The sequence below is a fragment of the Homo sapiens genome, chromosome 7, assembly GCF_000001405.40.
Source record: "Homo sapiens chromosome 7, GRCh38.p14 Primary Assembly".
In the NCBI taxonomy this organism is placed as follows: Eukaryota; Metazoa; Chordata; class Mammalia; order Primates; family Hominidae; genus Homo; species Homo sapiens.
In genome coordinates, this window is record NC_000007.14 from 37,412,928 (window position 1) to 37,430,181 (window position 17,254).

Here is a 17,254-nt window from a genome sequence, read left to right on the forward strand (position 1 = left end):
TGACTGCAGCCCCAGCTGACATCTGACCACCACTTCACAAAGGACCCTTAGCCAGAACCACCTGGCTAAGCTGCTCCTGGGTTCCTCAACCACTAAAATTATGAAAGAGAATAAATTATTCTTGTTGGGTCAAGCCACTAAGTTTTGTGGTGATTTGTTAAACAATAATAAGTCACTAATAGGAGACATAACTTGACCAAATTTTTTTTTTGTTTTTTTTAATTTTAACTGCTTCACAACATTTAGGCTCAAGATTCTTAATACTTGCTCTGTCTGAAATCCTCCCTCTTCTCCCTTCCCCTTGCACACAAGACTTTCCTCATCTCTCCAGGAATCTTTCCTTGCCTCCTCCAAGCCCAACAGCCCTTTTTCCAAGCCTAGCTTTCCTCTTCGTCCTTTGTATTGTGGTTATTTGTGTGTCTGTCTCATCTCCCTGACCAGACTGAAAGACCAGGAAGGCTAAGGAAGTCTTGTTCAACTTTGAATCCACAGAAAATACCTTACACATAGTGGGCTTTTGGTTGATTTACTGAACAAAAGAAGAAAATACCAGTTGGTACAACCTGGCAAGCAGGACAATCACCAAATGAACCAAACTGTCTGAAGATATTTTTCACTTCTCAGAAGAAATCCCCTTGGCCAAAAATGAGCATCCAGGTAACATGCAAAGTATGCCCTTAGCTCTCTTTTTCTTGCCATCTAAAGTTCCAGCATGTCACTCAGGAAAACACCCTTCAGCACTTTCCTTTTTTGGGGGCAGTTGTGGGGGAGACAGAGTCTTGCTCTGTCACTCAGGCTACAGTGCAGTGGCGTGATCTCAGCTCACTGCAACCTCTGCCTCCTGGGTTCAAGCAATTCTTGTGCCTCCGCCGCCCAAATAGCGGGGATTACAGGCGCACACCACCACGTCTGGCTAATTTTTGTATTTTTAGTAGAGATGGGGTTTTGTCACGTTGCCTATTCTGGTCTGGAACTCCTGGTCTCAAGTGATCTGCCTGCCTCGCCCTCCCAGAGTGCTGGGATTAGGGATGTTAGCCACCACACCAGGCCACTTCAGCATGGCAAGAACAGAGGGAAACTGTGAAGTAGCAAAGTGAAAAGGTATATGACAGAAGTCAATTTACCTCCACTTTAATATCAAAATAATATTTTAATATAATTAATATCATTTAATATCAAAATAATATTGAGTGAATGATTCCATAATGAATCATGGAATTCATTTGAATGATTCATTCCATTCATTTTCCACTAAGAAAATTAGAAAACATTATTTGATATTAGCAGCCAACATCCATATCTTATCAGGTCTGTGGGATTGGTAATGGGAAATTGAAATATGCTAAACAGTACCTCTTAGTATCCTGCTGGAAAATCTTTCTATGTTTAGGGACAACTACAGAAATATTCACCAAAAATATCCGAGGGGGAAAACCCCTGTACATTACATGTAGAATATTAACACCTACAAGGTGGAGAAGAGAGAGGACGGATAAATTCATTAATCTAAATTAAGCATATCCAGGTCACTGGCTATGGTGGATACTTGTTGGGGCACACATACACCAAGTCACTCTTCTTAAAAATTATCTAATGTTTGTTCTGGCATTCTCTGATCGCCACCCTGCTGGTGTGTTGGGGGAATCTGCCCTGTGGCCAACTCCAAAGTCCAATCCTGTTTGGCAGAGACAGAAAAAAAGAAACCCTAAATGACCCAGAGAGTGGCTGAATCAATCTAATTCTGTAACTCACCATACCTCTAATCTTTTCAATGATATAAGCTTTTATTGTTTAAGCCAGTCGGCATTCAATTTTCTGTTTCTTACCATCAAAGTCATTCTACCTGCTGCATTGGAAAAATCTACCACACATCCCTGGGTATGTTACAATGAACCTTTCCCTGTGGGAATAAAACAAGAGCAAATAAAGAAGTAAACGCTGGGCAGGAACATTGCAAAAACACTAATAATCCTTTTTTTTCTTCCTGCAGACTGCAATGCACGTAGCTTGCAGTAAAAATCTTGAGAAATATCTAAAGCCAAAAAAGCTATTTAATGGTTTAAACCAGTTATCTAAGTTGATTTGACCTTGGTATTACCAATTACACAAAACCAAGTAATATCCTACCTTCTGACATACATACTTTGGGGCCTTGGTACTCATCTTCATGGCAAGTAAGCTGATTCTTAGTTATATGCATACAAAGCCTGTTAATTTTTAAATCCACACTCATTTCTCTTGCAATCTGGAGCCTTGTTGGAATATCTCTCACTGCTTTCAGCTACTGCCTGAGCAAATTAGCATGCATGTACTCCTGAACAAAATAGATTGAGCAAAGCGAATCTGTGGCTTCCAAAGTTATGTTACGTGAAAATACAGAGGTCTTTGGAATCACTGAAAAGTTCTGGGCTGTATGTGCATTTCTGTCTTCAAATGCAAAGATGTCCCTACATCTTCAACATCAAGAGTGTAGGGTTTAAGAGCATAGTTCCAGAGTCAGAGACTACGTGAGTTCAACTCTTGGCTCTACCACTTTTAAATTGTGTCGACTTGGCAAGTTTATTTCCCCAGTCTCAAGTCCTTATTATAAAATGTGAGTTATGATAGACAGTATGTAAAGTCTAGCGTGGATATAAAAATTTAATGATCGTAATAATAATTCATATAAAGCAGGCAGCACAGTACCTGGCACATAATAAAGGTACAACAGATGTTTCTTGCTGTGATTGTAATATCTGCAATTGATACTGGAAAAGAAAATAATTAATGCATGAAAAAATGTATCTTCCCAAAGATATATCAGGGCTTCAGGGAAAAGAAACGTGAATTAAAGTAATAATAACTCTCAATATAAAGTGAGTGGATCCAACTTAAAGTTAAACATTAATTCTTGATTATTTGCTTTGGGAAGAGGAAGGAACAGAGTACATTAAAAATAAATAATACCCCAACAACTCATAAACCCAATAACTACAGCACAGCTTCAACATGTCTTAGAACAAAATTCCCAAAACAACAAGAGACCCATGTACAAATTAAGTTAAAAACATATTCCATAATGAAATCTACAGTCCTAAAAACCAGCATTTCAGATTATCAGTAACATTAAATGAGCATACAAATTCAAACCTGTGTTTTCAGATTTGCGGCTGACCTACAACAGAAATAAATGAACTAACTAGAGATAACTCCTTTATTGGGCTTCCATCTAAAGCTAAGCTTTACTTAGGCTTTCAAATTGTTGCACTTACTTCCTAAATCAGATATGCCACCAAAACTGCCCACTTTTGTCAACTGTCAGGAAAACTGACAATACGAAGTTCACAAAGACGAAGCAGGGAAGAAAATAGCAATTTGACTTGCAGTCCACTCTCAGGTTTTAACCGTATGGAAAATTTTATATACACATATATTTTCCAAAGTTATGGAATATGGTTTAGAATCTCAGGAATCCCATTCTCACTGAATAATTAAACTGGGAGAATGAGAGGTTTCACACCATGACAATGCCACTATCAGAACTTACTGAACCCCAGAAAGGACCTATGGCCACCTCACCCAGAGGAGCAGGCTTGTCCATGCACACGCACAGACCACAGTATGAATGATGCCCCTGGAACTGGATAATGCATAATCTCCATTTCTTAGATTCCCGCCCTAAAAGGAGGGCCACATTTGCTTACAACAGCTCAAGGCCTAGATTCTCTGGAATTTTCCCAAGAGAGTTATTTTGCATTTGCTTACAATTTGAAAGCCTAAGTAAAGCTTAGCTCTAGATGGAAGCCCAACGAAGAAAGTATCTCTAGTTAGTTCATTTATTTCTGTTATAGGTCAGCTGCAAAGAGTAGCATAAGAGATTTTAATCAAGCAAATACTTGGAGCAAAATTAGTGCTGACAACAATCTTGTAAGCAAAATTTGTGTGCAGGTGAGTCAGAATGTGTTTTGTGGCACTGAAAGAGTTAACCACCTGTCCTATCAACAGTGTTTACTTTTGTGTTTGGCTCATTCACTTCCTCAGTTTCTCCACAAACCTAGCTTATGAAATCAAATGACTGCAAGCAACTAGCTGTAAAAGCTAAACCCCTACTGAGCACTTTCTATGAGCGTGATACTCTGCCAAGCATGATTTCATTTAATTCTCTCAACGATCCTAGAAGAGGGCACCGTTTTACAGCCAAGGAAACTGAGGCACAGAAGTTTTGCTGGTGGACACACCACTGAAGAGGGGATAGAAAGACTGGACCAGAGGCAGCTGTTATGCATGGAAAGGCGTCCCCTGAGAAAGACACGTTGAAGTCCTTTCCTGCTATCTGTGAATGTGACCTTATTTGGAAATAGGTCTCTGCAGACATAATCAAGTTAAAACGAGGTCATTTGGGCAGGTGCTAACCCACTAGGACTGTTATCTTTATAAAAAGAGGAAGATGTCTACTAAAAAAATGCAAAAATTGGCCAGGCGCGGTGTCTTACGCCTGTAATCCCAGCACTTTCGGAGGCCGAGGTGGGAGGATCACGAGGTCAGCAGATCGAGACCATCTGGCTAACATGGTGAAACCCTGCCTCTACTAAAAATACAAAAACAAAATTAGCTGGGCATGGTGGTGGGCGCTTGTAGTCCCAGCTACTCGGGAGGCTGAGGCAGGAGAATGGCATGAACCCAGGAGGCGGAGCTTGCAATGAGCCAAGATCACGCCACTGCACTCCAGCCTGGGAGACAGAGTAAGACTCCGTCACACACACACACACACACACACAAGCAAAAATTAGCTGGGTGTGGTGGCACACACCTGTAGTCCCAGCTACTCGGGAGGCTGAGGCAGGAGAATCGCTTGAACCTGTGAGGCAGAGGTTGCAGTGAGTCGAGACGGCACCATTGCACTCCAGCCTGGATGACAGAGCAAGACTCTGTCTCAAAAACAAAAGAGGAAAACGTCATGCAAAAACAGACACACAAGAAGGCAGCCATATGAAGATGGAGGCACAGCTTGGAGTGATACTGCACAAGCCAAGGACCACCTGGGGCCACCAGAAGCTGGAAGGGGCAAGGAAAGACCCTCCCCTGGAACCTTCAGGCCAACTCCTTGATTTTGGACTGCTAGTTTCTAGAGCTGTGAGAGAACAAATCTGCATGGTTTTAAGCCACCCAGTTCATCAAAAGATGTTAAGGGAGCCCCAGGAAACAAACTCAACATTGCAGGCTCTCCCCAGCTACTCTTTCCTGCCTCCATTTTCTTTCCACTTGACCTGACCTATCTGCTAAGAGACAGAAACCAAAATTTTCATTCCACCTTCTTTTTCTGGACTTGAGATTGCTACAGATAGAAAGTGCAGCACATTTTGAACTGTCTTTAACAGTGTGTTTTTTAAAATTAATTTTCACATTAGAGCATTCTACCCCTAAGTATTTTCTAGATCAGCTCAGGCATCTCTGCTCCCCATACCTCTACCCCTGACAGCAGCCTGCAGCACCACAGTACTCCAAGCAGTTAGCAACTTCAAAACAGATTTTCAAAGTGCAATATCTGGTGGCCTGGCCCAGTACATTGCAATAAGGTAAGGCCCGTAGGGAGATTCCAGAATCTGGAACTGGATCTGCCCAGGCCCCTGGGGTGAGCAAGACCTCTGGCAAGGAGAAAGAGCTTCAGTAGTGGGAAGGGACTGTGCTGTGCCAGTGCAACTCTGTATCTGGTGAATAGCAACACCATGGATGCGTCAGAGTCAGCTCAGATAACCTCGGTCAGATGCTGACCTGCAGAAGTCTCAGGCAGGGCCAAGCGTGGAGATGGAAAATCCAGAAACACACAGATGCGGGCAGGCAGAATCACAGAAGTCATCTCGCAGGTATTATAAGGAGGTGTCAGTCATCAGGTTAAGCGTGGGAGGCAAACTGCAGCTTCTGCAGTGAAGGGGCAGTGAGGCGAGATGGGGATGGTAAGAGTCAAGTGCCCAGCTCTCAGGGTGCTGCAGAGGCTAGGAGTCGGGTACTCGCAACAAGACTAAGCAGCTACGGAACATGAGTCGAGGGAAGAAGAGCACCCAGCGTGATTGAGATCTCTCCAGTGTTGGGTCCCAGGGTCCTAGAGACTCCCCCATAACCCCACTCCTACCCCCCAGGACTGAGCCCGCAGAGGAGGATGCTGGCAGGGAGAACAGAAACAGCCGCTCAGGATGCAGGCAGGCTCTGACCCAATGTGGACTTCTAAATGCCTTAGCTGAAATGCAGAAAGCATTTTCTGGTAGAACAAGGCTAGGTTTCCAAGCTCGGAGAAAACCCAAAATAATACTCTTAAAATATTTGTAATTAAAAATCTAAATAGAAGGCTATGATAATTGAGAAGAAAGTAGTATTTTTTACCTTTGTTAGAGTACTTGGTGAACAGCAGAATTAATTAGGAGAACAGGAGGAAGAAGATGGAGATGCTATCTGGAAATGTCAATATATTCATGGGCCGTTTGTGATTGGATGGGTTTGTTTTGTTTAATCTGTTTTCTACTAAAAATGTATGATTTTTTTCTTTGTTGTCCTCTCAGGGTTGTTGTAAAATTAGATATGATAATATGTGATAACACTTTGGAAACAGTAAAATGTTAGGGCAAATTAAGGCTGCAATATTGCCATTTACATAGAGGTGTCAGAACTATCACTATTTAAATAATTGTATACAATTTGCTAGATGCAGAAAACTATAAAGATGAGAGGCCTCCTGGTGCTTACCAAGGCTGTCTTCTTACACTGACTGAAGCAGAGAAAGAGGAAGCAGAGTAAACCTATACCATGTGCACCTCAGCCCAGGCCCTGTGTGTGTGCCTGGTCTGTATTGTAAATGCAGGGAAATGGAGTTGAAGAAAAAAGTACTATAAAGATGAATAAAGTTTGGTCATATGTGTATCATCCAGAGATGACCAGTGGCAACATTTTCATATCATTTATTTCAGTAATTTTTAGTTTACTTATTTTTACACAATTGAGTTCACACTATTTCACATCATGCTGTTTTCACTTATATGCATTTTCCCTTGCACAAAACATCCTATCATCATTTGTAATTGCTGCAATATTCCATTGCATGGTGATATAATTCAACCATTTACCGGTCTTTGGAGAAGGAGGATGTTTTCACGATTTACACATACCTAATACAAATCACTGGGGGCTTTCAGAGGCTGAGAGGTAAGGCCCCTGAGTCAAAGCACAGGACGAGTCTTGTGCTCTCAGTACCAATAGCCAAATGGCCTCCCAGCAAGGCTGCAGCACTGTTCACTCCAAGGGCAATGTGAAAATAAGCTGCCCTGGCACACTTCAACAGCACGAAGTGCTCCATGGGTCACCTAGCAAAGATGGTTTTATTAGGTAGTAAGAAGGGGAAAAACACATTTTATACTTGGACATTAGGAGCAGAGATATATTACCATGAAGCTAAGAAACCGTAATCTTCAGAGCCTTCCACTTGACTAAGCCCTGCCCATTCTCATTCTAAATAAACCATTCACTTTTGTACCTGATTTTGTGTTATTTTCATAAAGGGGGCTCCACAAAATGTGGATGGATCCATCACTGTCTAGGAAGAACATTTGAGGCTGTGCTCGATAAACCAGTGACACTTTCCACAAGCACAGAGCTAAACTACATTGCCTGGCCTTTCCTGCGTGTGCCACAGCTGGGATTAGGTTTTGGCTAAAGGAAGGTGGCATGCTGGCTAGACACTGATGCCCCGTGTAACTCCACTGACCACTTTGTTAGAAGACTTGGTGAACAGCAGAATTAATTAGGGGAATAGGAGAATGCATTTTAAAGTGATCAAATACTTCACTCTTATTGTATTGTCACTGATATTTTGGGGTCATTTATAACAGCTTTTAGCATTAACTACAGTGACTAAAGCAAAGCCTTCCAAAACTTAGCCACACGTGACCTGTCCATCTTGCTGGCTCTCTTCGGATGCCTGTATCACAACTGCCTTACTAATTTGGCATCTTTCATTCTTACTTCCAACCCAAGCAAGCAAACTGATTTACACCAAGTCTACACACTTGTATCTGATGGCCTCAGATTTCACTGCTGCAAACCTGCTTCTGCCATGCAGTATGTAAAAGTGAAGCCCAGAACCCTAAGCCACATCTTCCTCTTAAAAGCACACTCTGAGCAGTACAGACTAACCTCTTCCTAATGAGGAGATGGAGCAAGTGGCAGAGTTAAACAATTTCCACCAAACACTTTAGAATCCTGAGTTTTCTGCAAAGGAGCACAGATGTTCATATCTCTGACAGCAGCCAGAAGCCTCTGCCAACACAACAGCCCATTTCAAGAGAAAAACAGACACAAATACTAAGTATATGCCAAGTTTCCTCTCAAATAGCTTTCCCCCGTTTTCTTATTTCATCCAGTTTGACGTTCTTTCTACCTTGCCCACCACATATTTTCTGATCTCCCAGTGCTCACCCATTTTGCAATGATCAGCCAGAAGGGCTCAAAATTGCTTGCACCCTTCCGAAATACATTCTGCTCTATATCCAACAACTTCCTCAAGCCCCTTATCAAAATATCACAAGTTCCTTTGGGCCACGATTAAAGTTCTCACCCCAGATGCTATAAATCTTTCCCTGTGAGGATAGTCCTCATGATATCAAAGCTAAGAACAGTCAAGCCTGGAGATTCTCGAATATAATCACAACTCCTAAACGCCAGGCTGTTTTGAAGGCAGCACATCAATTCATTCCTGGGTTCTTAGGGGCTGAATATGCAGCACATGGATGAAGTTGCAAAAGGAAGGAGTGGAAAATTAAAGGCTTTATCAAAACTAGATTGCAATGGATTTCTGAATATTCTTCCAACAGACAGGGATAAAAACAGCCATGCATTATAGACTTCGGCAGAAGAGGGCTGGCCAAAAGGGTTAACCATTTTCATTGGTCAAAACTGGCCCCTCTGCTTGGAGTTTACAATGCAGTGGGACTGAACCACAAGAAGCTGGGGCCAAAAGTGATGGGCAGTGGTGTTTCTGACCTGAGTGGGACCAGGAAGCCAACCTATCCTCCCAAAATGTAGACAAGGGGTGCCTCTGTCCCCATACAAAGGATGACCTTTAAAGAATGCAGTTCTCAAGCCAATTGCATTGTGCAACTCAGATATTTGTGGTCTCATCTGACTGGTTAGCTCTCATGTTTAGAACATCTGGCTAACAAGATTAAAGCCTATCCCAGGATAAGAAAATTAGCTTTCCTCTATTTCAACACCACAGACTCATCCTCATCCCAATTTGAAACAGCTACAAAAAGCGGGCAAACAATATTTATTGACTACCCATTATATGCATAGCATCGAGGAATAAATTCAATGGGGAAATGAGCCTGCGTTATTCATCAAAGTCTTTTCCAGCCCTGGAAGAGTCTTATTTCTGTGAGTTTAGAAAAAGAATTTACATTTCTCTGGCCAAGAGGTCGGAGTTATTGGCTTAATTCATCAGCTTTTTTCCCCCAAAAAATCTGTGCTTCGCTTTGGCCTAAGGGACCTGGTACAAGTCACAACACATCAGCAACATTAATAGAGAAGCTCGTGTGGTTTTCCTGCTTCTCTTAGAGGATTCAGCTATTCGCAGGAATATACAAGACTTTTAAGGAATTTTGTTAAGTCATGAAGCAAATGGCTTTCATAATTTTAAATGTTTTGATGGATTTTAAAACACTTAAACAGGTCTACAAATAGATGAAGCAGGCAACACTTGCCTTCCTATTTAGAAAAAAAAGCGTTTTAAAACTCATTTACTGATTGTGTAAACTCCAAAATGTTTTCTAGTCATGATGCACTACAAGACTTCTTTGGAAATCTAAAAATCAGACAAGCATGATGCCACACTAAAAGAAGTCATGATGTCTGAAGATACCTCCAAAGGCCATTTCAGACTCTCTGGGCTTGGGGAAAACCATTTAGATACTTTTCTACCTAGAGTTCATAACAAAAGCTACCATTTATTGGCCGCAGCCCATGAGCCAAGCCTGTTAAGTCTGCACAGCAAACTCTAGAGGTCTGTATTGTTACCCTCATTTTACAGATGGGGAATTGAGATTCAGAAGCATTACATAACTTGTTTAAATTTTCCTATCTGGTAAACCAAGAAAATGGGACTCAGGTCCCACTCCTTCAGGCTCCTGGTGCCATGCTCTTAGTGAGGCACCAGTGTCTTCTGTGTTACAGGTTATCACCCTAAAATATATAGGGAAAAACATGGCACAATTTCCCTTCAGTAACATATGTCATAATTTCATCAGACATTCATCTTATAACCTGCAGTAAACTACAGACATGATTAAGTCTGTGTCTCTTTACCTAATGTCTAAAGATACTTCTGAGGCTAAATAAAACTCACAGTTGGCCGGGCGTGGTGGCTTACACCTGTAACCCCAGCAATTTGGGAGGCCAAGCTGGGAGGATCACCTGAGGTCAGGAGTTTGAGACCAGCCTGGCCAACATGGTGAAAGCCCATCTCTACTAAAAATACAAAAATTAGCCAGGCGCAGCGGTGGCTGCCTGTAATCCCAGCTATTCGGGAGGCTGAGGCAGGAGAATCGCTTGAACCCGGGAGGCGGAGGTTGCAGTGAGCTGAGATCTTGCCACTGCACTCCAGCCCGGGTGACAGAGCCAGACCCTGTCTCAAAGAAAACAAACAAACAAACAAACAAACAAACACCTCACAGTATTCTACTGTATTTCATTTTTGAAACATTGATTCTTATTTTTTTTATATATGTGTTTGTCTCTTTTCTGCCAATAGTTTATTTCACTGTACAAGGCTTTATGGATCATACCAAAATCAATTTCTTCTCAGGGAAATACGGACTTGGGAAAACTTAGGTTTCCACTCCTAGCAAAGAATTTGACAGATAGTGTCCGATTCATTACCCTTTCTCTTTTTTAAAAAATAAATGCCCTCTACCAGAGAAGTCGCATGTCTAATCACTAAAACACCCATCTCTGAAAGTGATGATGCCCTTCCCTTAAACTAAATGATCTGCTCTGGAGGAAGTGTGTGTGAGTACTTGCTGGGGGCTACGCTGGGTGGTCATCCTTGGACCTCATGGGTAGGGGTCCCTCTAAAGCAGGGAGTCCCCTGTGGAATGCAGATCAAGGTCCAGTGGGGCACTTGCCCACTTCCCAGGACAACAAAGCAAACTAAGAGGCCAGGTGCATGCCACCAACAGATCATCATTTCCTCCAGAGCAAAATGGTCTTCATCAGCCATAAATTCTTTCAAGAAAAAGATAGGCAAAGTAGAAAAGCCATATGCTTTGATCTTCTTTACCTTTTCCTGCCAGCACTGACCACCTGGGCAGCTCCGAATCTCCAGTCCAGTGGACTAAAAACTTCTCATACTGTACGAACATTAGCCAGTTTTCCTATGCTAGAAACAAATAATGCAAAGAAAGCTATCATCCTTCCATGAGTCCTTCTCAGTACTCATGGGCAGGGATTCAGTATCCCACAGTAGGCTACATAGTTTAGAAAATTGCTAGATGGATGGATTGCCCCATACCTACAGGTATGAGCTGATAAGATTCTGAGTCCTATCCGTTTTATTCCTGAACAAACCATATATACTCCTCAAGAATTTGTCAATATTAGCAATTGGGCTAGGCCTTAGAGATTCTGGCACATTAGCAAAATGGCCAAAAGCCTGGGAATCAAAATATGGTTGTGATCTGAAAATTCCAACCAATGACACAATTTAGCAATGCCGAAAAACCTACAGAGATGATTTTCAAACATTACTCATTTCACAAATAATCTGTCCTGTAATGAGTGTTCAAGGTCAATGCTGTTCAGAACTGGGTTTCTTAGCAAGGGTGACCAAGAGACCTATTTCAATCTGGGGACCTCTTGGAACATTTTGTTTTAAACTTCCCAAAGAGTAACCCACACCAAAACTAATAATTATTATATATTTTTAATAATAATAATAATAATAAACCATTTTGTTATAGAATGGGAAAGATTCCAATCCATCAACAGCTTATTCAACGAATATTTATTGAGGCTGTGTTATCACTGCCTCATACTAGAAACTGGGAAAACAAAGATGAAAGATGAAAAAGGCAAGCCCTCTGCCTTAAGAAGACCCAGGAAATGCTAGGGTTTCCAGTCTTCATAGATTTATGGTTTTCTTAGTCAATTCAGGATGCTCTAACAAAGTACCATAGACTAGGTGGCTTATTAACAACAGAAATTTACTTCTCATAGTTCTAGAGGCTGAAAATGTGAGATCAGGGTGCCAGCAGGGTTGGGTTCTGGTGAGGGTGCTCTTCTGGGCTGTGGACTGACAACTTCCCGTTATGTCTCACGTGGCAGAAAGAGCAGCAGAGAGCTCTCTTGGGTCCTTTTTATAAGGGCACTAATGCCAGAGGGCTCCACCCTCAGGACCTAAGGCCCTCCCAAAGACCCCACTTTCTAATACCATCATATTAGGTATGAGGATTTCAACATAAGAATTTGGAGGCGTGGGGGTGTGGGCACAAACATTCAGTGCATCATGATAGTTATCGAGAATTATTTACATGTGTCTCCTTATATCTGTGTCTTGTCCACTGGTTCAATGCTGTACCACTAATTCCCAGCATGCTTGGCACATGGGAGGCACTGGATGTCTATCCGTTGAATGAATAAATTAATTAATGACATAAGCTCTGCCAACAGCTAGTTTTGGCTTTGGCCAAGTAATCACAAACGTCAGATTTCCCATGTGTAAAATGAGTTTAAAACGTTAGGTTCCCCAAATAAGTGCTCCACAGAGTATTGGTTCTGCAAAATGTCATGGGTTTTATTGGAGAAAAAGGGAACCTGTGGCCGAGTTTGAAAACCATCAATATTACAAAAGAAAGCTGATTTCTACTTGAGTCTTCTCCAACTGTAATACGCTGATATACTGAGAACTTCTCAGGGGATGTCCTAGGCAGAGTCCCCCACTCCAATGAGGCTATAAAAATCATCATTTGCAAGTCTCCAGAACAAGACTCTGGACCCTCATGCCTAGCAGTTTAACACCAACAAAAGGATCCATTCTTCAACATCTTCTTTGATGTGAACTATTCTCAGGGAGCTAAGATGGACAGAGGTGTGCTCCTTCCTTCACCTCAGCTCTTTCTGGCTCTATGGCCCTGGGCAAGTTACCCAGCCTCTCTAAACTTAGAGTTCTCTCTCTCTCTCTCCCTCTTTTTTTCTTTCTTTTTTTTTTTTTTTTTTTTTTTTTTACTGAGATGGAGTCTCATTCTGTCACCCAGGCTGGAGTACAGTGGCACAATCTTGGGTCACTGCAACCTCTGCTTCCTGGGCTCAAGCGATTCTCCTGCCTCAGCCTCCAAAGTAGCTGGGATTATAGATGCCCGCCACCAAGCCCAGCTAATTTTTGTATTTTTAGTAGGAGACAGGGTTTCACCACGTTGGCCAGGCTGGTCTCGAACTCCTGACCTCAGGCGATCCGCCCTACTTGGCCTCTCAAAGTGCTGGGTTACAGGTGTGAGCCACCACACCCATCTTGTATTTGCTATAAAATAAAATACTAGTAGTAATTAATTCAAAAAAGGCCTGAAGTGAGAACTAAATGAGATAACATATATAAATCACTTGGTACCACTCACAAGAGACGCTCTGTAAAGGTCAGCTCTCCTTGTTATTATTCACAAACATACCAGCATCTCGTTTGGATTCCAGTCTCAAGGTCACCAACAGGTAAACTCTGGCAAGTCAGTCCTTGTCTCGCCTCAGAAGTGTCACAGACAAAATCCAGGTTTTTGGCTTACATCAGTGTTTCCCAAACTCTAGTTCTTCAAAGACCATTTCCCAGCCCTATTTTACTCAGTATTTCTCTTACAATTATTGCATGTTAGTCTCATCCTAAACAAGGAAATCTAGGAAATCACAGGTTGGATATCCTTGTTATTCTTTTTCCAAGACACATGAAAATGAATAAAAAACTATTTAAATATTCCCTAAAAGCCAGCATTATACCTAACTCATTTTCAATGCCATACACCGAGAAACATTTACTCAGGATTTTTATCCAAGATCCTTCTGCTAAAAAGATTCTACGTCTTTTTTCCCGAAAAAAAGAAAAAAATCACAAACTAACCTTTGCAAACACTAACCTGAGCCCCCTAAGACAATACAGTAGTTCAGACCACAAGGGGGTCTTCTTTAGAAACGAGATTCAAATCTAGTTTCTAGGCTAAACATCTGAACATCAGAGATCACAGAAGGTGCGGAGATGACTCTATGGCTTTCCAAAGAAAGAATGACATCAACTTCCAGAATACAGTGACATCTCTGTGATGTGCTACGTTAGCTGAGATATGAGGAGGCATTTTTAAAGATATGTTTCAGGCTAAGACTTTTTCAAATTCTAAAACTAAAATTCACAAAAAGCCATTGCTCTCCCTCCAGGAAAAACACTTGCTTTAGAACTCTTGCAGCTCTGCATGGAAGAATCCTGTCACCTCAGTCTGGGTCAGCAGTGACCAACACTGCAACGTGTCACAGATCACTCTGATAGGAATATCACCCTCCTTCAGATGCCACCAAAACCAACACCACTATGGGATGGCTGAAAACCTATAAAAATATTTTAGATTAGTCATAAATAAAATGACTCAGGATGATATTCTGCAAACATTTTATGGACTCCAAACATTGAGCCTTTTCAAAAGTAAAAGTGAGCCTAAGTGGCAGTGGATAATATCGCTATTTTTGCTTTTAACTGCAATTATTCCCAAGCCCTTTTAATAGCTGTCACTTTTCATTTCCAGGCTGTAGCAAATTATAGTAAGAGGAGAAGGGAGCTGACAGCTCATTTCTTCAGTGAATGGCATGCTCTTCCATTTCTGCAAGGCCTGTGGGCCCTACTTTATGGCACATTCACCATCCCCAGGAAAATCCTGCTAAAAGAAGCAATAAAGACAATAGTGCTCAAGTCTGCCAGCTTGGAGGCTTTGGGTACTCCAGCAGAGTTTCCCAGGCCTCCATGCATTCTGATCAATAGGGGAGAAAAATAAGTTATCCCCATAGATACCCCAAAGGCATTTTATCTTTTTATCTACATGAAGGATGTATGCTTGGGGTGTGTGTGTGTGTGTGTGTGTGTGTGTCTGTGTGTGCACACACACGTTGGAGGGGAACAGAGACAGCTGGTTTCATTTGAAAGGAATTAATAATGCAGGTATTATTAATATCATAAACCTCATCCTCTTAGGATACATATCCCAGTGAAAAGAGAACTAGGTCAAAGGCACAAAACAGTTCATAAAAAATAAAATATTTTTGAATCTAAAATAGCACCTAATAAAAAAAAAACTGAGTGATCACTTTTGCAACCTAGAAAATGGTGCAGCCTGTCCCTAAATATTAAAGTAGTATGAATACAAAAACAACTTTTAAGAGGAGCTTTCAGAACTCAAGCTAATGAATCCAGTTATGTTGCTGCTTGGCAGTCTTGACTAAATGGAACATTCAACTCCAGACAGGGATTGGGCAGAACCAGCTAACCAATGTGTATATGCCTGGAGCCAATCTCATCTGTGTCACCAGAGCGATAATCAGAATCCAGAACCTTGGAATGACATTTCTTTTTGTAATATTGGTTCCTTTTTAAGTCAACATGTAGCCTAAAGATCAAAACAATCAAATGAAAATGTGTATTAGAAAGACCCCTAGGAAATATTTTCCACCACGTCTTCAGAAATGCAAAGACCCAACAGATGAAAGAAGAGCAATCCTGAAATTAATTGCTGCTCAGAAGATCAGCTTTTTACTTTTTAATTAACATTCTGTCCTAATCCAAGAGCCAGAAGAAAAACATACGATGTATAGTGCTTACGCACCTCTTATGGGGAAGTGTTAACCTTTCTTCCTCAGCCTTTCTCTATTTTCATCAAAATGTGTTTAAATTTAAGAGGCAGTCTTGGCAGAGTGTGTAGCTCAGTGATGCAAATAGTGTGGGATGGTGCCACCCAGAACTCCATGTGTGGGAGAATAACTAGGAAATCAACTTTCCTTTTCTCTGTGCAACTCTATTTCATCCAGAGGAGGATGTGGGCACACGTACTGCAGGTTGTTGTTGTTGTTGTTGTTGTTGTTGTTGTTGTTATTTTTTCCAACTGGGCAAGGGAGGAGGTATGGAGAGGAAAAGCCAAGTGATATTTTGGAAGGATTTGCAAAACACCTGGGTTTAAACTGTCAGGATCCAACTTGTCTTCTTTCCAACCCACCTCCTTCAGTGATTCCACATCCATTCCGGGTGCTGCAGACTAAGGGATGGATTTGCAAAACACCTGGGTTTAAACTGTCAGGATCCAACTTGTCTTCTTCCCCACTCACCTCCTTCAGTGATTCCACATCCATTCCGGGTGCTGCAGACTAAGGGATGGAACAGTTACCCCTGTAACAGTCATAGATGTGGTAGGAAGAGGCTGGCACAGATCAGGCATCACAATGAGCAATCCCAAATACGTTGGAGTGATTTGTTTGCAACATCTCTTAAATCTTTTCCTAGAGGTGCTTACAGGCAGGGAAAAGGGCTGATCTTCAGTTTCACCACTCTCCCATCTGGTCAGCTCTGAAAATCCCCTGCTGGGCATATTCTACATGCCAGGCAGTGGGCAGAGCACAGAGGATGCACAGATGACTGGCTACAGTACCATCACTATGTTCAGGTGCTCTCAGGCCAGCAGGGGAGATGGGAGAGTGAATGAACTCATGCATTTTGTTTTTGTTTTTCTTTCTTGCACAGAGGCATGAACTAATAATCCTCTATGGAGGGCTGCTCAGTTAGAGGCCAAGAAGGTTTTCTGAAAGAGACATTTAAGATGGCATTAGGATGTGAAGGATGAGGAATGGAACTAGAGGGAAGAGGGACATAGAAGATATTCAGGGCATCCCTAAGGGGGCTTCAGACTACAATTACCTGGTGCAGAGTCTTTGTATAAATAGAGATTTTAGGAAATTACTCCAGAATCAGAATTTCTAGTGATGAGATCCCAGATTCTAGTTTTTGCAAGCTGCTGAGATGATTCTGAATGCAGCTGACTGACCTACAGATTTGTGTTTGGGATCCATCAATCACACCTAGCACCCTCCCTCCACATTTATAAATAGCTGAGAAAAATTTGGCATTGACGGAGAGCACAGACAACAGTTAGGTTCAGCCCCAAAAATAGGGCTCTGGCCTATTGATTCCAAATTCAATGTCTGGACCACCAGTTCCCGAAGAGCT

General features: G+C 41.8%; 1 protein-coding gene and 1 pseudogene across 10 annotated transcripts in view; one reads left to right on the forward strand and one right to left on the reverse strand.

Moving 5' to 3' along the window:
* The window catches only part of ELMO1 (engulfment and cell motility 1), a 596,421-nt gene that overhangs the window by 560,022 nt on the left and 19,145 nt on the right, over positions 1-17,254 (reverse strand). For 4 of the 10 annotated variants that reach the window (XM_011515654.3, XM_047421086.1, XM_047421087.1 and 1 more), the window contains one exon: positions 15,864-16,829. The exons of the other annotated variants lie outside the window; for them this stretch is intronic. The gene's annotated coding sequence lies outside the window, so the exon portion shown is untranslated. The remainder of the gene's footprint in view (positions 1-15,863; positions 16,830-17,254) is intronic. 10 annotated transcript variants of the gene reach the window in all.
* Positions 6,701-6,840, forward strand: LOC124900242 (uncharacterized; annotated as a pseudogene).